General features: G+C 63.6%; 2 protein-coding genes and 1 non-coding gene across 12 annotated transcripts, besides 4 other annotated features; 1 reads left to right on the plus strand and 2 right to left on the minus strand.

The window, feature by feature from the left end:
- Positions 1–2,044: 2,044 nt before the first annotated feature.
- MAPK15 (mitogen-activated protein kinase 15) lies at positions 2,045–8,154 on the plus strand. Of its 10 annotated transcripts, none has more exons than NM_139021.3 (14): positions 2,045–2,139; positions 3,390–3,488; positions 3,743–3,772; positions 3,908–3,998; positions 4,471–4,601; positions 4,689–4,852; positions 5,039–5,178; positions 5,926–5,983; positions 6,399–6,536; positions 6,696–6,801; positions 6,927–7,107; positions 7,245–7,369; positions 7,448–7,576; positions 7,771–8,154. In NM_139021.3, exons 1-14 carry the CDS (start codon positions 2,074–2,076, stop codon positions 7,945–7,947), a joined length of 1,635 nt encoding a protein of 544 aa, NP_620590.2. In that variant the 5' UTR covers positions 2,045–2,073; the 3' UTR covers positions 7,948–8,154. The 10 variants fall into 10 exon arrangements, 8 of the variants coding, with proteins under 8 accessions (NP_620590.2, XP_011515228.1, XP_047277523.1 ...); XM_011516925.3 differs by lacking the exon at positions 2,045–2,139 and adding an exon at positions 2,924–3,039 and having other exon boundaries at positions 3,686–3,772; XM_011516926.3 differs by having other exon boundaries at positions 3,686–3,772; positions 7,448–8,154.
- Positions 8,819–9,320: an enhancer, noted in NCBI's record as "H3K4me1 hESC enhancer chr8:144805293-144805794 (GRCh37/hg19 assembly coordinates)". NCBI's record gives its function as "activates a minimal SCP1, AML or CMV promoter by ChIP-STARR-seq in primed H9 embryonic stem cells {active_cell/tissue: H9 hESC(primed)}" and the evidence as "EXISTENCE:reporter gene assay evidence [ECO:0000049][PMID:30033119]".
- FAM83H (family with sequence similarity 83 member H) lies at positions 9,629–19,475 on the minus strand. The gene is made up of 5 exons (NM_198488.5): positions 19,387–19,475; positions 15,832–16,293; positions 14,855–15,019; positions 14,663–14,787; positions 9,629–14,419 (listed from the first exon to the last, which is right to left on the minus strand). The coding sequence occupies exons 2-5, from the start codon at positions 16,276–16,278 to the stop codon at positions 11,617–11,619; spliced, it is 3,540 nt and encodes a 1,179-aa protein (NP_940890.4). The 5' UTR covers positions 16,279–16,293; positions 19,387–19,475; the 3' UTR covers positions 9,629–11,616.
- Positions 18,328–18,538: a silencer, noted in NCBI's record as "fragment chr8:144814802-144815012 (GRCh37/hg19 assembly coordinates)". NCBI's record gives its function as "represses an EF-1alpha promoter that drives an FKBP-Casp9 reporter gene in an ReSE screen in K562 erythroleukemia cells {active_cell/tissue: K562}" and the evidence as "EXISTENCE:reporter gene assay evidence [ECO:0000049][PMID:32094911]".
- Positions 18,328–18,709: a biological region, named in NCBI's record as "Sharpr-MPRA regulatory region 4007".
- Positions 18,415–18,709: an enhancer, noted in NCBI's record as "tiled region #4007; HepG2 Activating non-DNase unmatched - State 1:Tss, and K562 Activating DNase matched - State 1:Tss". NCBI's record gives its function as "activates a minimal TATA promoter and a strong SV40 promoter by Sharpr-MPRA in HepG2 and K562 cells {active_cell/tissue: HepG2 | K562}" and the evidence as "EXISTENCE:reporter gene assay evidence [ECO:0000049][PMID:27701403]".
- Positions 18,779–18,849, minus strand: MIR4664 (microRNA 4664). The gene has a single exon (NR_039810.1). It is a non-coding gene; the product is annotated as a microRNA 4664 (primary transcript).

Raw genomic sequence — 19,676 nt, forward strand, 5'->3', positions numbered from 1 at the left:
ACAAAATTTATATCGGCAAGAATATTTGGACAAGGGAAAGTTGGACTTGGTTGAAATAGTGCCCAGGCCGGGGTGGGTGGATCACGAGGCCAGGAAATCGAGACCATCCTGGCTAACACGGTGAAACCCCGTCTCTACTAAAAATACAAAAAATTAGCCAGGCGTGGTGGCGGGCACCTGTAGTCCCAGCTACTTGGGAGGCTGAGACAGGAGAATGGCGTGAACCTGGGAGGCGGAGCTGGCAGTGAGCTGAGATGGCGCCACTGCACTCTACCCTGGGTGACAGAGCGAGACTCTGTCTCAAAAAAAAAAAGGGATGGGGCGCGGTGGCTCACTCCTGTAATCCCAGCACTTTGGCTGCCCATCGTCTGGGAAGTGAGGAGCGCCTCTGCCCGGCCGCTGTGCAACCTTCCAAGTGTGAAGTGACAGCCTTGTGTGTGATCTTTTCTGTCTTCCCCAAGTTTGCATTTTCGACATTAAAGTTTACTTTTTAGTTAAAGAAAAATGGTAAGTTTTACGTCAGCCATCTTGCTTTTTGCTTTTTTTTTTTTTTTTTTTTTTTTTTTAGACGGAGTCTCAGTCTGTCACCCAGGCTGGAGTGCAGTGGTGCAATCTCGGCTCACTGCAACCTCTGCATCCTGGGTTCAAGCGATTCTCCTGCCTCAGCCTCCCTAGTAGCTGGAATTACAGGTGCACGCCACCATGCCCAGCTAATTTTTGTATTTTTAGTAGAAACAAGGTTTCACCATATTGGCCAGGCTAGTCTCAAACTTCCAACTTCAGGTGATCCACCTGCCTCGGCCTCCCAAAGTGCTGGGATTATAGGCGTGCGCCATCACGCCCAGCCTTTTTTTTTTTTTTTTTTTTTTTCTGAGGAGTCTTGCTCTTGTTGCCAGGCTGGAGTTCAGTGGCGCGATCTCAGCTCACTGCAACCTCCACCTCCTGGGTTCAAGTGATTCTCCTGCCTCAGCCTCCCAAGTAGCTGGGACTATAGGCGCCCACCACGGCGCCCACCACCACACCCAGCTAATTTTTTTGTATTTTTAATAGAGACGGGGTTTCACCATGTTGGCCAGGATGGTCTCGATCTCCTGATCTCGTGATCCACCCGCCTCGGCCTCCCAAAGTGCTGGGATTACAGGTGTGAGCCACTGCGCCCAGCCCTGCTATTTGTTTTCTACTGGTCTTATCTTTTCTTTGTTCCTTTTCCTTCTTTTTTTGAATTCTTTTTGAGCAAGTAGTTTGTGTTGTGGTTGTTGTTTGAGACAGGGTCTGGCTCTGTCACCCAGGCTGGAGTGCAGTGGCGCAATCCAGGCTCACTGCAACCTCTGCCTCCCGGCTCAAGCGATCCTCCTACCTCAGCCTCCCAAGTAGCTGGGACAACAGGCTCATGTCACCACACCCAGCTAATTTTCCTATTTTTTTTTTTTAATAGAAATGAGGTTTTATGTTGCCGAAGCTGGTCTCCAATTCCTGAGTCATTAGCCACGCCCGGCTAATTTTTGTATTTTTAGTGGAGACGGGGTTTCACCACGTTGGCCAGGCTGGTCTTGAACCCTTGACCTCGGGTGATCCACCCGCCTCGGCCTCCCAGAGTGTTGGGATTACAGGCGTGAACCACCGTGTCCCGCCCAAATAATAATATACTATTAATACTTCACATGTAACTTAAGAACCTTACAATACATATTCTCATGTTATTTTGTAATAGTATAAATGTGTATTTCCATTATCCCCCTTCACTTTTTGCTATTGGTGTCATGCATTTTACTTCTACAAGTTATAGAGTCCACAACAGATAGTTCTTGTTTCTACTTTAGTCAGCTGGGCTGGGCGTGGTCCTGCGAGGAGGTGGGCGGGGCGCACTGTGGGGCGGGGCCGGTGGGGACGTGGGCGGGGCGCATTGAGGGGAGGGGCCTGCGGGGAGGTGGGGTGGGCCCACTGTGGGGCGGAGCCGGGGCCTGCCGGGGGCGGGGGGTGTTGGGAGGGGCGCCCCGAGGGGCGGGGCCGGGCCGCCGTCGGTTCCCACGGCAACCGACTCAACAGTAAGGCCCCGCGGGCGTCCTGGCCGCCATGTGCACCGTAGTGGACCCTCGCATTGTCCGGAGATACCTACTCAGGCGGCAGCTCGGGCAGGGGGTGAGTGCCTGGGGGTGCGTCCGCGCGCCGAGGGGCGCGGCAGATCTGCGGAGAGAGGACCTGCGGGGCGCGGCCGGTCCCCTCGGAGGCCTGTTCCGTCACACACTGGCGTCCTGCCTCCTCCGTAGGCGGGAGAGGTGGTCTGGAGCCCCTTCGTGCCTCAGTTTCCTCATGGGGTAACACGATCCTGACTCCCAGGAACCTGGCTCCTGGAGGCAGGTGACAGCCAGGGCCGCCAGAGGCCTCAGGCAGAGGGATCCTGGCGCCCCACTCCCCACGCGTCCACAGTCGCCCGCTTCCCGGGTGCACACGACGCTCTGGGGAGGCTGGGCCCGCGCCCGGGTCACTGAGAGGAAGGGCGGACCCCAGGCTCAGGAGCACAGGGGCGAGGCCCGAGAAGGGCCTGAGCGGTTATGGGGTGGGCGCAGAGTGAAGGGCAGAGCCTTGTGTATCTGTGTGTGTGTGTGAGCATGTAAGCCTGTGTGTGTGTGCGTGGGTGTGTGGGGGGGTGTTCGAGGGTGCCATGGGGGAGGGGAGGAAGAGCCTTCCAGGCAGTGCAGACGGTAAGTGCGTAGGCCCAGTGCAGGGTTGTGTATGTGCAACTGGATAGGAGATGGAGAGAGACAGGTGAGTGGTGAGGGTCCGATCGTGTGGGAGCTTTGGGGAACTTCCAAGACTTTGGTTTTTACTGTTGCTGAGGCTGGGAGCTGTAGCAGCTGCTGGTGTCACTTTACAAGGCCCACCCCTGTGCTGAGGACCTACCGTGGGTGTGCACGGGAGCGGCAGACGGAGATGAGTTAAGGGGTTAGCGTAGCCACGCAGCGAGAGATGCCAGAGGCTGGGACCAGGGTGGGGGCAGAAGAGACCGTGGCAGGGGCTAGATTCTGGAGGAATCTGAAGGTAGGGCCAATGGGATTGGGGGTGGATGGGGTGTGAGAGAAAGGGAGGGAGAGTGCCTGGGCAGCTGGAAGGATGATAGGGCATCCCCGAGCTTCATTTCCTGCCCAGACGCTCCCCTCTGTGGCCTCCTTTCCTCCAGGGCCTCGCCAGCTCTCACCCTCCCTTCCCTCTACCTCCCCTCCTCTGGAAGATGTCGGAGTCTAGGGCAGCCTGCAGTTGCGGGAGCCCACACTCCCATCCCCTCTCGGGACCCAGGATGGGAAGGAGGAGCCTCATGTCTGTAGGGACAATCTGGGTGGGCAGGGGATGGGGGGAAGGGGCTGGCCCTGTGTGACGGCACTCCTTCCCAGGCCTATGGCATTGTGTGGAAGGCAGTGGACCGGAGGACTGGTGAGGTCGTGGCCATCAAGAAAATCTTTGATGCTTTTAGGGATAAGACAGATGCCCAGGTGAGTGTGTGGGGAGAAGCGTGGGAGAGGATGGGGGCAGGGAGGGGCAGCCCCTTGCCCTGGTGCCTGGAAGCTCAGGTGGGAGCTGGAGCCCAGTCATAGCAGATGTTCTGGCCTGTCTCGGAACACTGCCCCCTTGCCACGCCTGGTCTGGTGGGTATTGGGTGACAGACATCAGCTCCTTTGGGTCCTCTCAGGACATGGGCTTCCTTCTTGCTCCACCCACCCACACACCTGTGTTTCTGTCTCTTCAGAGAACATTCCGGGAAATCACGCTCCTCCAGGTGAGTGGCCTGGGCCCTCCAGTCCAATCCCCTTGCCCAGGTACAGATCTCTCCAGACAGGAGAGAAACTGGCCTTCTTGGGCCCCAGAGCACAGCCCCTCCTGGCCTTCCAGCCGCCTCCGACTCTCTCCCCAGGAGTTTGGGGACCATCCCAACATCATCAGCCTCCTTGACGTGATCCGGGCAGAGAACGACAGGGACATTTACCTGGTGTTTGAGTTTATGGGTGAGTGAGGCCCCGGCCAGCGCCCCAGCCCCACCTCTGTTCTGTCCTGACGCCGTCTGCGGGTCCCTCTGCGTGTCCCCCTGCGTGTCCCTCTGCAGCTGGCCCACAGTGGCTTGCTCCCTCACCATGTACCCTGGACTCAGGGACAGACAGCTGACTAGTGTCAGCCTCCAGAGCCAGCAGCGACCCCTTTCGTCCCACCTGCCCCAGGCTCCTGCTCTGACCACAGTTTGCAGTTGCGTTCTCCTTTTTCTTCTCATTTTATGAAACAAAGGCAACATGAAATAAAGTGTTAAAACTCCTGCAGACCTCACCGCTGTGCCCACAGGCAGTGCACAGGATGGAGGAGCGGGGCGGCCAGGCCGTGGGCTGGTTCAAAGTGGGACAGACCTGCCAGGTGCCCCTCTCCCACTCCCCCCAGGTTGCCCCCCCAGCCCCCCACCCCCGACTGCAGTGCGCACCCTCTCTGCAGACACTGACCTGAACGCAGTCATCCGGAAGGGCGGCCTGCTGCAGGACGTCCACGTGCGCTCCATCTTCTACCAGCTCCTGCGGGCCACCCGGTTCCTCCACTCGGGGCACGTTGTGCACCGGGACCAGAAGGTGCGGTTCCCCCGCCCCCGCTATGCCACGTGGCCCGGCTCCCGGCCCCACCCAGCCCCGGGGCCTCAGCCTGCCTCCTCTCTGCAGCCGTCCAATGTGCTCCTGGATGCCAACTGCACAGTGAAGCTGTGTGACTTTGGCCTGGCCCGCTCCCTGGGCGACCTCCCCGAGGGGCCTGAGGACCAGGCCGTGACAGAGTACGTGGCCACACGCTGGTACCGAGCACCGGAGGTGCTGCTCTCTTCGCACCGGTAATAGCGAGACATCCCCAACCCCCCCTCCACCTCCCTGCTGCCCTCCTGCCCAGCCAGGGCTCCCAGGCCTCCCGTACTCCGACCCTGCCTTGGTCCACAAGTGTTCCCCCATTCACCCCCCAGCAACCCCACCCCCACCTCTGCCTCTGGGTCTCTCCATGCCTACACCGCTTCCTGCCCCAGATACACCCTTGGGGTGGACATGTGGAGTCTGGGCTGTATCCTGGGGGAGATGCTGCGGGGGAGACCCCTGTTCCCCGGCACGTCCACCCTCCACCAGCTGGAGCTGATCCTGGAGACCATCCCACCGCCATCTGAGGAGGGTGAGCCAGGCTGCTGGGGCTGGGCACCGGGAATGCTGCAGGTCAGACAGCACAGCTGTGGGGAGACAGCAGCTGACAGGCTAGGACTGTGCTGAGAGGAGGGACGGGGACAGGGAGGATCCAGAGGATGGGGCAGGAGCCCCAGGAAGACCGACTGGTGATGGGGGCCCAGGAGGAGCTGCTGGGGGTGGGTGTGGGCAAGGCAGCACCTGGCACAGTCACCATGAGAGCCAAGCAGTGACCGTGAAGGGGCCAGCAGGCTGGACAAGGTCCCCAAGGGATTCGGGTAGCAGGGGCAGGGACTGTCACTGTGCCGGGAGCTGGGGTGTGCAGAGACAGCTGGGCAGGAGAGATTCAGGTGCTGAGGGAAGAGGTGGAGGAAGGCAGTGGTAGAGGGGCCATGGGGGTCACTCTTGAGGGCGGGGGCAAGAGGGAGCTGCACCGCCAGGCATAGCTGCTTGTCTGGGTGGAGCCTCCTGGGCCGTGGAGGTGGGCGCCAGCATCCACTTCTGTGAGCACACCCCAGGGCCAGGTGCCCGAGTGTGGAGCAGGGGTCATGTGCGGGTGCTCCCGTGCACAGGCTGGGTGGCACGCCCTGGTGATGGGGTGTTTGAGCCCCGCCAGACAGCAGAAACCCTGTAGAGAGGCTGTGCTCCCTGGGGCTGGAAGAGATGACTGGCCCCAGATGCCCTGAGCCGCCCCAGCCGACCAGGCCTGCCTGGGTCACACCACCTTCTGCTGCCCCAGACCTCCTGGCTCTCGGCTCAGGCTGCCGTGCCTCTGTGCTGCACCAGCTGGGGTCCCGGTGAGTGGGGGCACTTCGGTGAGGGTGACAGGGTGGCCTATCTCAAGGGAGCAGGGCCACCTTCCTGCAAGTTTACTGGGGCCAGTTTGTACCAGTTCAGATTCTGCCTGTTTTCAAGATGGCAGTCCCAAACCCAACAACTGTTGGCCACACTGAAAGCAGGAGCCCCTCTGGTGCTCCTAGAGGGTGGCCCAGAGGAGCTGTGCCAGGGCGTGGAGAGGAGGGCACCAGGGGGCCGCAGGGGTCTCTCCACCCTGCAGGGGCCCAGACTGCCTGCAGGTCAGGCACAGGGGCATCTACCTAGACAGGACAGCAGGGTGGACCCCAGTTTGGAAGCTGAGCCCCCAGCCACGAACATGGATCTGAGGAGGGGCCCTTGGGTCGGGCCCTGGAGACGACACACGGCAGCCCACAGGCCACGACAGACGCTGGATGCCCTCCTACCGCCAGACACCTCCCCAGAGGCCTTGGACCTCCTTAGGCGACTCCTGGTGTTCGCCCCGGACAAGCGGTTAAGCGCGACCCAGGCACTGCAGCACCCCTACGTGCAGAGGTGGGGGTGGGAGAGAGTCCCCCAAGTGCGGGGGGACAGAGGTGGGGGCAGGAGAGAGCCAGCCCATGAGGGACAGCCCCCACAGCAGGGACCCTGCTGTGACGGCTTGAGGGGCTCCCTTGGCCGCAGCCCGGGCCCCACCTCCCTGGCTCCCTGCAGGTTCCACTGCCCCAGCGACGAGTGGGCACGAGAGGCAGATGTGCGGCCCCGGGCACACGAAGGGGTCCAGCTCTCTGTGCCTGAGTACCGCAGCCGCGTCTATCAGGTGCTCCGGCTCTCGACCCCTATCATCCCCTGTCTACTGCACCCTGGAGGCTGCCTCCTATGTCAGAGACCCCCAAACGCCCCATGCCCAGGCTGTGACCTCTGAGCACCCTTCCCCTCCCGCAGATGATCCTGGAGTGTGGAGGCAGCAGCGGCACCTCGAGAGAGAAGGGCCCGGAGGGTGTCTCCCCAAGCCAGGCACACCTGCACAAACCCAGAGCCGACCCTCAGCTGCCTTCTAGGACACCTGTGCAGGGTCCCAGACCCAGGCCCCAGAGCAGCCCAGGCCATGACCCTGCCGAGCACGGTGTGTGATCTTTGCTGGCCGCCCACGCGGAGCACGGCCCGGGCCCCTTCTGCCTGTGCTGCCAACTATGCGCAGCATTCGGTTCCTGACCCTGGGGTTGACCCACTGACCCCGGGGTTGACCCACTGACCCCACAGAGTCCCCCCGTGCAGCCAAGAACGTTCCCAGGCAGAACTCCGCTCCCCTGCTCCAAACTGCTCTCCTAGGGAATGGGGAAAGGCCCCCTGGGGCGAAGGAAGCGCCCCCCTTGACACTCTCGCTGGTAAGTCATGGTGGGGCGGGCACAGGAGGGACCCCTCCTCTGCACCTTTCAGTGACCCTGTGACATGGCCCTTCCCAGGTGAAGCCAAGCGGGAGGGGAGCTGCGCCCTCCCTGACCTCCCAGGCTGCGGCTCAGGTGGCCAACCAGGCCCTGATCCGGGGTGACTGGAACCGGGGCGGTGGGGTGAGGGTGGCCAGCGTACAACAGGTAAGCCCGGCCCAGTCTGCCCCCGTCCCCTCATCCTCCTTTCCCCTTTCCCCTTCCCCCCTGCTTTTCCCTCCCTTCCCCATGCTTCCCATTGCCCCTCCAATGTCCAGTTCAAATCTCTCGAGGACCTCAAGGCCTCCCCTCCACTGCACCCCCTCTGATGGCCCCTTTATGTGACCCTCAACTGTACACAGGTCCCTCCCCGGCTTCCTCCGGAGGCCCGGCCCGGCCGGAGGATGTTCAGCACCTCTGCCTTGCAGGGTGCCCAGGGGGGTGCCAGGGCTTTGCTTGGAGGCTACTCCCAAGCCTACGGGACTGTCTGCCACTCGGCACTGGGCCACCTGCCCCTGCTGGAGGGGCACCATGTGTGAGCCGCCCTACTCCCTTCACCTGGCCCTCTGTTCCTGCCCCAGCCCCTTCCCCAGACCCCTCTCCAGTCTCCTGCACCCCTTAGCCCTCCCTGCTTTGCCTGGCCCGTTGAAGTTCCAGGGAGCTTGCCCGGGTCTCCTCGGGGGAGCAGATGAGGGCCCTGCCCCCGCCCCACTGACTTCCTCCAATAAAGTCATGTCTGCCCCCAACCTAAGCAGCCATCGTTCCTCCCCTCCCCTCTGAGGTCACAGCATCCACTAGCTGGGGGCCCCGGCCCCTTTCCTGAAGCCTCCACTCCTCTGAGGACCCCACCCCACCCCCGTCCTGAAACCTCCACCCCAGAGCCCAGTGCCGCCCCCTAGAGGCCCTGCCCACTGCACATCCAGCACTGGGCTTTTCCCTCCAGGTTTGCCTGGGGCAGCTTCTTGTTCTTTGTCCATCATTTCCTTACCTGCTGTGGCTTCAGGGTCCAGGCTGCCCCCCAGGGTGGTCCTGTGGGGTAGGGATGTAGGGTCACCCCCTGGCCATGTTTGTGACTCTGAGCCAGAGGAGAGAAGGGGAGAGAGAAGGGGGACACCCCTCCCCCTGCTGTCAGGGACTGCAGCCTGCGCCCCCTAGTATGGCCACTGCACCTGATCTGTCTTCAGGTCTCCGTAGGTGAGGGTGGGAGACAGACATCTCGCGAGGTCAGGGTTACCTCCTCTTGTCACCCCCAGGCAAGGTCCCTGGTGTGAGTTCAGGCCAGGGCTGTGCAGGGCTGCAAAGATCAAAGGGGCCCTGTGGGCACAGACCTGTGTCCTAGGGTGCCAGGTGTCCTCAGCTGCACCTGCCCATGGGTTGGGGTTGGAACACAAGGAGGCAGCTGGAAAGCTCACAGGCTGGAGGAGCTCACAGTCTAAAGGGCGCGGCCTGTGCTGTCGGTGGCGGAGTTGGGCTGCCAGGCTCACAGTCTGGGAAGCTCATAGGCCGGAGGAGCTCACAGTTTGAAGGGTGCGGCCTGTGCTGTGGTCGGTGTTGGGCTGCCAGGAGAGGGGCGCTGCTGGGTTGTGGAAGCCATTGCCACCATGGGGGAGGGCGGGGAAGGACAAGATGTGGGTGGGGGAGCTGAGCAGAAGGTGAGAGCTGGCGCTGCCCTGGTGCTGGACCAGGCACCTGCAAGAGACTCAGAAAGGGAGGCTGGGTTTGGGAGAAGGTTGGAGGAGGCGGAGGAGGGATCGGGAGGGCCCGAGGAAGCGGTGAGCCAGTCAGAGACCCAGCCCAGGGGCTGTTTCCTGAGGGGGCTGCCGAGGGAGGTGCTTGTTGAGCTTCAAAAGCCCAAGGCGCAGGCCCAGGGTGCTGAACAAGCAGGACAGAGAGGCTGTGGGAGAGGAAGCTGCAGAGAGGCCACGGGGCTGCAGGGTTGGAGGCTTGGCCTCAGGCTGGGCAGTGTGTGGTGGGGCTGCTGAGTGGGGAATCGCAGGTGGGCACCCAGGAGTGTGCCTGCACAGGGGGCATCGGGGACAGGGACAGGAGAGCAGCGTGAAGTTGGGGAGGCCAAGGTGGGCCTTGGAAGTGGAGCTGGGGGGTCTTTAGTGCCCCCCACAGGGGTGGGTGGTGGGTCCACAGGGGAAATCTGGGAGGCCACGTGGTTAAAGGCTGCAGGATGTAACTGGGCGATTATACACACTGGGGAACATGCTAGAATACTTTGTGTGTTGTGTTTTATTAACACCAAAATGTGCCACATCATGGTTTAGAAGAGGTGGAGGGTGCAGGCAGGAGGCTCCGAAGGCCCAGGCAGGGCCGCCAGCCTCTGGCCTCTCCATGGACTCCAGCTGGAGAGCCTGTCCGCTCAGCAACACCCCAGGCAGCACCAAGAATAACATGCCCACAAGAACATCATGGCCAAGAGACGCACAGGCGCATCCCGCTTCCAGGCACCTTTCCCACCTGGCCAGAAGTCCCTGCTGTCATCCCGACTTGCACGGTGGTTTTGGTAACCAGTGGGCTGTGCAGGAGTGAAAGTGGGGTCACTTTCCTTCCTTTCCCAGCTGCTGGAGTCGGAACTGCTGCCTTTGTTTGGCGGCCTTGTTTCTTAAATCAGTTCCCTCTTAGGATTTATTACACTAAAAAAAAAATTAGTTTTTGAAAAGAAATAGGAGAATACAGAAACATGAATTTCACGAGGCTATCATCTAACAGTGGGGGCTTTCTACACACGTGGTGCCAAAATGTGTCATTCTGAGTCAATTGCAATTCCTCTCTAGGAGTGAAAAGAGATAAAAGATAAGCCAAGAACCCTGGACAGATTCTTGGTGTTGGTGACAAAGAGGAAAGGACCTGAGAATGGGGCTGGTGGGGAGAGGGGGGTGTCTGCTGGATACCAGGAGGACAAGGACCACTCCCACCTGCAGGGGTGCCCAGGACCTAGTTGGGCTCGGCCTCAGCTGCACCTTGTCCCCTGCCCTCACCTGGCCCCATACCTGTCAAGGATAAGCACTCCACAACCAGCCCTTCTAGCGCCTGGCTTGGGCCGGGCCTGTGCAGGGGGTGCTCATGAGGCCGGGGCCACAGGTTGTCTGGACCATGTTTTACTGTGCTGCAAAGGCCAATGCCCCCTCCCCACTCTCACCCAGTGCTGGCCAGAGCCTCGCTGGAGGAGATGGCAGACCTGGCCAAGGCGCCCCTTCGGGCTTCCCTGTGTCCCGTCCCCAGAGGCCTGCCCTGTCCAGCTTCCTTGCCACTCCAAGGGGCATCTTCTGGTCCAGCTCCCCCCCCCCTGCCCCACCCACCCCTTGCAAACTGCCCGCAGCCAGCCCAGTCTTCCCCACAGCAAGAGACGGGCCTCCAAAAAAGATGCTGGGAGGCAGCGAGCAGGAGAATCCAAGTAGGAAAGGAAGTGAAGCCCAGGCGGGGGAGGGGGGAGACGGGGGGGGGGGGGGGGGAGGGAAGGAGGAGACCTTGAGAGAGGGAGGGAGCGGGGAGGGGGGAGGCCCTGAGAACAGGAGGCCCTGAGGAGGAGAAGGGCCCAGAGAATGAGGAATTGAGGCACAGAGGCGAGACCCTTGCAAGAGGATAGGGGACTTAGCGGGGTGCAAGGCTCACGCCTGTAATCCCCCCACTTTGGGAGGCTGAAGCGGGCTGATCATTTGAGGCCAGGAGTTGGAGACCAGCCTGGCCAACATAGTGAAACCCTGTCTCTACTAAAAATACAAAAACTACCTGGGCGTGGTAGCATACATCTGTAATCCCAGCTACTCAGGAGGCTGAGGCAGGAGAATCGCTGGAACCCGGGAGGCAGAGGTTGCAGTGAGCCCAGACCGCTCAACTGCACTCCAGCCCTAGGTCTCAAAAAAATAAAGGGGGCGGGGGGGACTGAGGCACAAAGAGATGGCGGAGCCAGACGCTGCGCCACGCAAGGCTGACGGTGCAGAGATGAAGGTGCTGAGGGGAGAAAGGCACTGGTGGCGAGGGGTGCAGCCCCAGCGTTGGGGAGGCCAGGGGGCAGAGACGGCAGCTGCCAGGTGAGCCTCCAGTGGAGCCGAGGTCTGGCGCACTCAGCCAAGCCCCAAGCGGCCGTGGCCTGACAGCCGCTGCTCAAGCAGATGAGCAGGGCTCTCTGTTCCGCGGGGCTTCTGGATGACCGGGGCAGCGATGCGGGCACCCTGGCCTGGGTTGCCAGGCCAGAAGACTCACTTCTTGCTTTTGAACGTGCCCAGGATCTTGGGCACGAACTTGCCCACCTTGCTGTCCCTGGTGCCCTCCTCCGCGGGGCCTTCCCCTGCCCCAGGGCTGCTGGCCTCCTCTTTCTTGCAGAAGACCTCGAAGCGGCTGTACACGCGCTTCTCCTTGCGCATGCTCTCCATGCGGCGCAGCAGCCGATCGCGCTCCTCCGCGCTGGCTGGCAGCGTGCGGCTCAGCCGGCCCTGGGTCCCCAAGCTGTCCGAGCGGAAGATGGCTGAACACTTGTCCTTGTCGGACATATCTGGGGCCAGGACGCCAGCAGCCGGTGGACGGCCTAGCTCGGGGCTGTTGTGGGTCGGGCCGGGGCTCGGGGCAGGGACCGCACGGTGCTTCTGGCCGTGGGCACTGATCTGCTCCAGAATGGCCTTCGTGTCATCCCGAAGGTTGCTGCTGTACAAGGCGTTGGCCGTGGCTGAGGACAGGCGCGCCCGCGGACCCCGCTCTTCTGTGGCAGCCTCCGTGCTGTCACCCTGGCCCAGTGACAGACGCCGCGGGCTCTCGGGTTGGCCGTTCTCCTGCGGCACTGGGAAGCCACCCTCATCCTCCATGCGCCGCTCGCCCTTGGGGCTCAGCAGCTGCCTAAGACGCAAGGAGCCTTTGCGCAGGACTTCCATGGGGCCGCTCGGCCCCTCCTCCGCGGGCCCGGCCTTCGGGGACTCCCCGGAGATGGTAAGGGTGAGGCTGCCCCTGCGCTCCGGCACGGGGGGCACCGGACTGCTCCTGCGCTCCGGCACGGGGGGCACCGGACTACCCCTGCGCTCGGGGTAGGCTGAGGTGGGGCTCCCCTTCTGCTCGATAAATCCTGTAGTTGGACTTCCTCTTCGAGTGGAAAACCCAGGCGTGGGGCTCCCCTTCCGCTCAGGGTAAGCCGAGGTGGGGCTCCCTTTTGACTCATTATGGAGCACCTGGTGCGCTCCGGACCCTTCCAGCGGCAGAGGGCTGTCCAGCCCTTGCGGGGACGTTGAGTGGCTCTGGGCAGAGAGGAAGCGGGAAGGCAGGCGGTCGGAGCCGCTCCGGCCCAGTGTGTCGAGCAGCTGCGCCGCGGTGAGCGACGCGGCTCCCGGCTGCCGCTCCGCCTCCTGGTGCAGCTGCTGTGCAAAGGAGTCGCGCAGGTCCAGCAGGCAGCTCTCGAGGCTGCGGCGCTCGCCCCCCACGGCACCTGGGGCCGCCACCTCTTCCCGCCACGCCTGGGACACGACGGCCTTGCTGTGGCTGGCAACGGTGATGGCGCCCGCGCCGCCGCCGGGATCACGGGCTGGGCCCTTGTACTTCTCCAGCAGCTCCGCCACCTTGGTGGAAGCCGCGGAGCGCACGGCCTCTCCGCCGGGCCCCAGCGTCTCGCTGACCGTCTGCTCCTTGTGCAGCAGCTGCACCTTCTCAGTGGCCGCCGCAGCCCCGGCCGCGCCCTCGGCCTGTGACGTGCTGAAGATGAGCGAGGAGCGCAGCCTGGAGCTGCGCTGGACCAGGGGGTTCAGGCGCGAGCGGAATGAGTCCTGCTTGGCCAGGCCAGGCTCCTCCGGGCCCTCGCGCTCTGGGCCGTTGCCGCCGCTGCCCGGGCCTGGCACCGGGACCTTGGTGGGGAAGGCTGCTGGGACGCGGAAGGCCGAGGGGAGCAGGTCGCCGGCAGGTGCCCGGCCCCCGGGAGCCAGCACGTCGTCTTCGTAAGCCTCCGCTTCCATGGGCGCCGGTAGGCCGTCGTCGCCCCCATCCTCGCCGTGGCAGCCGCTCAAGTAGGAGGCCAAACGCCAGCGCCGCAGCCCTGCCCGCCCCTCGGGCCCGCCCCTGCGCTCCGGCTCCGCCTCGGGAGCGGGGTCTGGGCCCGGCCTCGCCGCGGCCTGGCATGGGAAGCGCTGGGTCAGGTTGGGGCGCGGGGCTCCGCTGGGCTCCAGGCCGCGGGGTCCGGGCGCGAAGGCGGGGTCCGAGCCGTGGCGCACCTCGCGGGACGCGCTGGACGGCACGTAGTCCAGCCGCTGGTGCCCGTCGGGTCCGAGCTCCGGGAAGCGGGGCCCGGCGCCCAGGGTGAAGTCATCCGGGTCCGCGAAACCCGCGCGGCCCCCGCGAAGCTTCTCGAACAGGCCTTGCGGGCGCGCCGGCGTGAGCTGCGGGTCCCACTGGTACTGCTGCTGGTAGAGCTGGTCACGGTGGAAGTGGCTGGTCTGGAAGCGGAAGTCGTCGCCGTGGCTGAGGAACGTCTGCCGCGACACCTGCCGCGCGGCCGCGAAGTTCTCCACGGCGCCCGCGCCCTCGGTCGCGAAGCTGTGCCGCTTGAAGGCGTCCATCTCCAGGTGCCGCGCCTGGAAGAAGCCCCGCGCGCCCGCGAGCTCCCCAGCCGGCCCGGCCTCGGCCTCCAGGCGCCGCGAGAGCGGCCGCAGCCCCGCGTGCGGTTCCAGCGCGCCCCCCGGCATCCGCGGCGGCTCCTCCCGGCGGAAGGCCGACAGGAAGTGGCGGTCCGGGTCGAGGAAGGAGGGGAAGCCCAGGCCCTCTTCCCGGGGTGGCGGGAACAGGAGGTGCGCTCGTTTAGGGAAGGAGAAGGGGGTTGGCGCCCCGACCCCAGGGACGCCCACGAGAGGCCCGGCCCCGGCATACGGAGCCAGGGCATAGGCGTCCATGCGGGCCAGGGCCGCGGCCGAGGGCACAAGCGGCTCGGACTGCGCGAAGAGGATGCGGAACTCCTCGTCGAAGCTGGAGACCAGCTCTCCTTGGAACACGTGCGCCAGGCTGCGGTGGATCTTCTCAAAGGACCACATGAAGCTGTGGGGGGGTCAGGGCCAGAGTCAAACCGAGCTGGAGCGAGGGCACTGCAGCCCCGTGGGCAGCGGGTGGGGCGCGGAGGACGCAGGGATGTGAGGTCTGCAAGGACCTGGGCCCGGCTAGGCTGTGCAGGGGTCTACAGGACAAGGGCTCCTGGCGAGGAGGGCCCTGGTGTGGAAAGGGGGTGCTGGGGTTACAGGAGGAGGCCCCAGAGAAGGGGGTGAGGGAGCCCCGCGGGCGCACCTGTAGCTCCCACTCATCACCACGGCACAGTCCACCAGCAGGAACTTCTCCTTGACGTGGCCCTTGAAGGACTTCCCAGTGCGGCAGTAGTAGGTGGGGCCCGCCACAGTCCGTACGCGCAGGAACTGGGGAGGGAGGGGAGTCAGATCTCTCCCACGGGTCCTCCCCAATCTCCCACTCCCGGGAACTCACATCCACGTGCTGCAGGTTGACACGGCACTTGTCGGCCATGTCCAGGAAGTGCTGCGCGTTCATCTCATCCAGCAGGATGTAGACTGGGACCCGACGGGCCGCGGCCTCCAGCACTTCGCTGAGCAGGTCCACATCAGTGAACATGTCCATCACCACGGCCACCACCTGCAGGGGCGGGTCAGGACGGAGAGGAGAGGCCCCTGCTGTCCCCACACCATTGTCCAGCCTCCCCTCCACACCCGGGAGGTGTCTGGATCACCCACGACCACTGTGAAACAAGCTAGTCCATCCTAGGGAGTTGGCGCCACATCTGGGAAGATGGGCAGGAAGAAGGGACCAAACAGAAGAGGTGTGGAACGGCTGGCCATAAGGGGGAAACCGAGGCAGGTGCAGGGCAGAGAACCCTGGATGAGGGTGGGCCAGGTTGGGGCACGGCAAGGGCCCCTCAATCCCCTCCACCCTACAGACGGCTGAGCTGCCCCCATTCCAGGGCAGCTGTCAGGGCCAAGTGCCAGGCTCCAGTTCTGCCCTGGGACGGGGTTGTTGCCCTGGGCAGGGGAGAAAGTCACAAGCCTTTAGCGTCTGGACCTCATGCCTCAGTCGCTATGGTTTAACAGCACCTTCCGCCGTCTGCTAGCTGTTTGGTGATGGTTAGAAGCCCTCAGCTGGCCAAGGGCCACCGGGCAGGATGAGAGGTAATTATCTGAACAATGAACCCAGGCTGGTGGGGTGCCCACCCATCCCCAGAGCCCCCGAGTTTCTGGGCACTGGCCATGACCACAGGCAAGCAGACCTGTGCAGAGCCTGCAGCCCCTGATGACCGAGACCTGGCAGCCCTGAAGATCTTTGCCAGGGACCCCCACTCCAGCTGGAGCTCAGGCTCACCCCTCAAGCTGATCATGCTCATGCATCTCCTCCACCCCCGTGCCTCTAGCCCAGGCCCCTCCCCCACTACCCTCAAGCCCAAGATGGCGCACCTGCTGGGCGGAACGGATCATCCTGCGGGCCTCATCCTTGATACTGGGGCTGTCGGGGGGCGGTGGCTGCACCAAGGTGGTCACCTCGGTGCCCTGGAAGCCGAAGGTCAGAGGCCAGCCCAAATCAAGCTCAGGCACGGCCTGGTCTGAGTTCACTGGCCAGTATGTACCCGAGGAGCCATCCATGTCCACGTCGAGAAGGCTGCCTTCAGGTGGCTCTCGGGTAACATACTGCGGAGGCCGAAGGTGTCGGCTCACATGTTCCAGCTCTTCAGGGCACAGGAAGTCTGGTGCCCCCTCGGTAGCGAGGAAGCGGCTGTAGGCCTCCGAGCCACCCTCGGCCAGTGCATCCACCGCCAGGCGGTAGTACTCTTTGTAGTGAGGCGGCAGGTACCCGGGTGCCAGTGGGTTGTCCCCCTGCGAGGAGCTCTGAGAGCGACGGGCCATGTTGGGGCCAGGGGCCTGGAGGGGCAGGGAGACACATGACTAGGGGTGGGGGCACTGGGACCACTCCTACCCTCGAGCATGGACACACTGTGGAAAGGGCCGTCAGTGACTTGGGTAGGCTGGAGTTTAGCCCATGCCCAGGAGGCCTTCCAGGGCACCAGCCGAACCAGGCTCACAGAGAGCAACCCAGACCCTAGGATGCCCCTAGCTGAGGGGACACTGGCAGAGGGCTGGGGCACAGGTATCCCAGCCCTGTCTCTCCTTTCTCTGGGAGGCTGAGGCAGGAGGACTGCTTGAAGCCAGGAGTTTGAAACCAGCCTGGGCAACACAGCAAGACCCCATCTCTACAAAAAATTTTAAACATTAGGCAGGCATGGTGGCGTGCACACATAGTCCCAGGCACTTGGGAAGCTGAGACAGAAGGATTGTTTGAGCCCAGGAGTTGGAGGCTGCTGTGAATTATGATTGTGACACTGCACTCCTGCCTGGGTGACAGAGTGAGACCACATCACTACAAAAAATAAAAATAAAACGAACCCCCCCCCCCAAATATTTCATGACTGTTGGCTTAAAGACAAACAATCCAGGCTGCATTCATCATTATAATATTCACTTTTTTCTTATTTTAAGACATTCACGGACCCCTGGCACTGTGCCTACTGGACAAGCTGGTGCCGCCCATGCTGCCCATGTGTCCGTCTCTGACTGCCTGGGAGACTGTGGGTAGGTCACTGCACCTCTCTGGCCTACCTCTACTGCACAACACAGCTGAGGGTCCACATGACACCACGCCTAGCCCAAGGTGAGCGCAGCAAACAGGGCTGTGACTACCCTCCTCCTGGAATGGCAACCTTAAGCCCCACACATAGTCCCGGGCCACACCTCCTCCCCATCCTCAGGGTTTCACAATTGGGCTCCCACAGCCCATTCTATGACCGCCCAGTCCTGGAACACTGATCCCTAGACTCCGTCCCTGTCTCCCAGCACCCCCTCCTTCCCTTGGCCTACCTTTGACCTCTTTCTTGTCACTGTCCCTCTCAGATAAAACCTCCCTGGGCCACAGCCCCTTGGTGCCCACAGGGCCCTGCAGGGCCTGCACTCCACATCGCCCAAATCTGGCTCTCCACTTGCTCAGAGTCCTGTCCCCACCAGCCCCCATCCAGGGCAGCAGGGACCTTTCCAGGTCCTGGGCTCGCCACCACCATCCATGCTTGGCTGCCCCACAGCCCACTCTGTTCTCCAAAGGGTCCCTGCGGGGGCCTGGCCTCTCCAGAAAGGTGTCAGATGGGGAGCGCCCAGGGCCCACGCACACAGGGTCACTGAGCTACCTGGGTACCTCTCCCTGGAAGGAGAGCCCTAGGGACTGCTCAGTCCATCCCACTGCTCCTCGGGTTGGGGAGGGAGGCAGGACACCTGTCCCCGCCTAGCACACAGGTTCCTGAATGTTGGCCCTGGCTAGGAAGGTGCCCAGAGGAGCGTGCCCCTGGGCGCTGACAGGATGGATGCCGGCCAGCTGGACTACATGGGTGCTAGCCGGAGCCACTTGGCTGAGAATGTTGGGGTCAGGAGGCAGCCGTCCTGCCTGGTGCCCCTGGGGGTGACATGGAGTTGAGACATGGGAAATACCTGGTGCCACTCAACAGCCCTAGATGCCAACCGGCTTGGGAGAAGCTGTCCCAACATTTCTTTGTTGGGGCACCGTCCTCATGGTTGACATATGGGGCTGGTTAGGGCACACCGCTCTGGTTGTGCCAGGGGCAGATCGAGGCCAACCACATGGGGGTGAGGTGTAGGCCTGTCTGGCTGGGCCGAGGAGCCCACTCACCATTGCCAGCCTGTCTGTAGGGGCGGTGTCTGACCATACAGGGCAGGGGGAACAACCCTGCTGATGTTGTTTGAGGGTACTTCCCGACACTGGGGGGACACTCTAGAAAGGACCCCCACTGTCCCTTTGGATTTCAGTGTCCAGGCTCCAGGCTGTGTGTAATGGGGGCAGGGACCATCCAGACAGTGGAAGCCCCCGTGGCCAGGAGCCCTCCCAGCAGACATGCCTCGTCCTCACAGGGTGATGCCCAGACCTCCAACTGCTTCATTCCTCACGTCGTCTCCTTTCATGGGTACGTGTCTCCTGGGCTATGGACGGGGCTGCAGCCACTCCCGAGCCCAAGATGGAGCACCCCAGTGGCCTGCATGCCCACACATTTGCCTACCAAACGTCTGCCCAAGGGAGGGAGGGCGCGGAACCCACCCATGGGCAATGACTCAGCACGAATCCACTCTTCTGCTTGCTGACCCCTGACCTCTGACTCGAAGTCAGGGCCCTCAGCTGGCCTTCAAGGACCCCATCCTCTCCACCCTGGCAGGAAGTGGGGTTCCTGAGTATCTGGAAGGAGGACCCCATGGAAGGATCTGGAGTTCCTACACAAAGTGGGGTGAACCTGTGCCAAGTTCCGATGGGCGCAGGAGGGCGCGGAGGCTCTAGGCGGCGGAAAGGTGGGGTGCGGAGGACGGGGCTCACAGACCGGAAGTCGCTCAGTGATAACTTGCGGAGTGGGCACCCCAGCCCCCAACGGGGTCAGTGCACCCTACGAGCTCGCGGCTGCGGCCGCTGGGTGCCCTATCCGCCCACCCCAGCCCAGGAACGTGGGCGCGAGGGGCAGCACTCCCATCACTCGCCCTGCTCGCCACGCGGGGATCCAGGCCGCACCCTGGCCACCCCAGTCCACGGCGGCCCGGGCGGATGTCCCCAGGGAAGGGTCCAGGCCGTGCCCAGCACCCAGACTCCAGCTAGGCCGCGAGGGCGGGAGCGAGTCGGGACGGCCGGGCAGGCTCGACCCGGATCCCGGGCCCCTTCCCCCTCGGCTCTTTTCGGGCCGGCGTCGTGCGGGGGCGCTCGCGTCCATATCCGCACAGCGGCGCCCCCTGTCCGAGCAGCCCCGCCACCCCGGCCCCGCGCACGCGGCCGCGCTCCACTCCCACCGCCCCTCTCTGGGTCGCGCGGCCCCGGCCCAGGTGTGGGCGCAAGGGTAGCCCAAGTGGGACCGCGCCAAGGGGCGCCCGCCCCCCGCCTCGCCCCGCCCCGCTCGGGCCGGGGGAGGGGGGCCCTACCTGGCCAGGTGCGCGGGGTCTCGGCACAGGGGCAGCAGGAGCCGACCGCCGCCCAGCGGCCTCGCGGTCCGGTCGGTCCGGCAGCCACTCCCTGCCGCGGCCCGCCCGGCCTGATTCACGCGCCCGCCCCCGCCCCGCCCGTCGCTCCTGCCTCCTGCCTGCCCGGGCAGCACCTGGGGGCGGGGCAGCCCCACCCGCGGCGCGCCCGCATTCCTGCGCCCCGCGCCCGCCGCCAGCCCCAGCCCGCGCCCCCGGCCCGCGCCCCGACCCGCCCGTGCCCTGCGGCCGCG

Source organism: Homo sapiens, chromosome 8 (assembly GCF_000001405.40).
Source record: "Homo sapiens chromosome 8, GRCh38.p14 Primary Assembly".
NCBI classification, from domain to species: domain Eukaryota; kingdom Metazoa; phylum Chordata; class Mammalia; order Primates; family Hominidae; genus Homo; species Homo sapiens.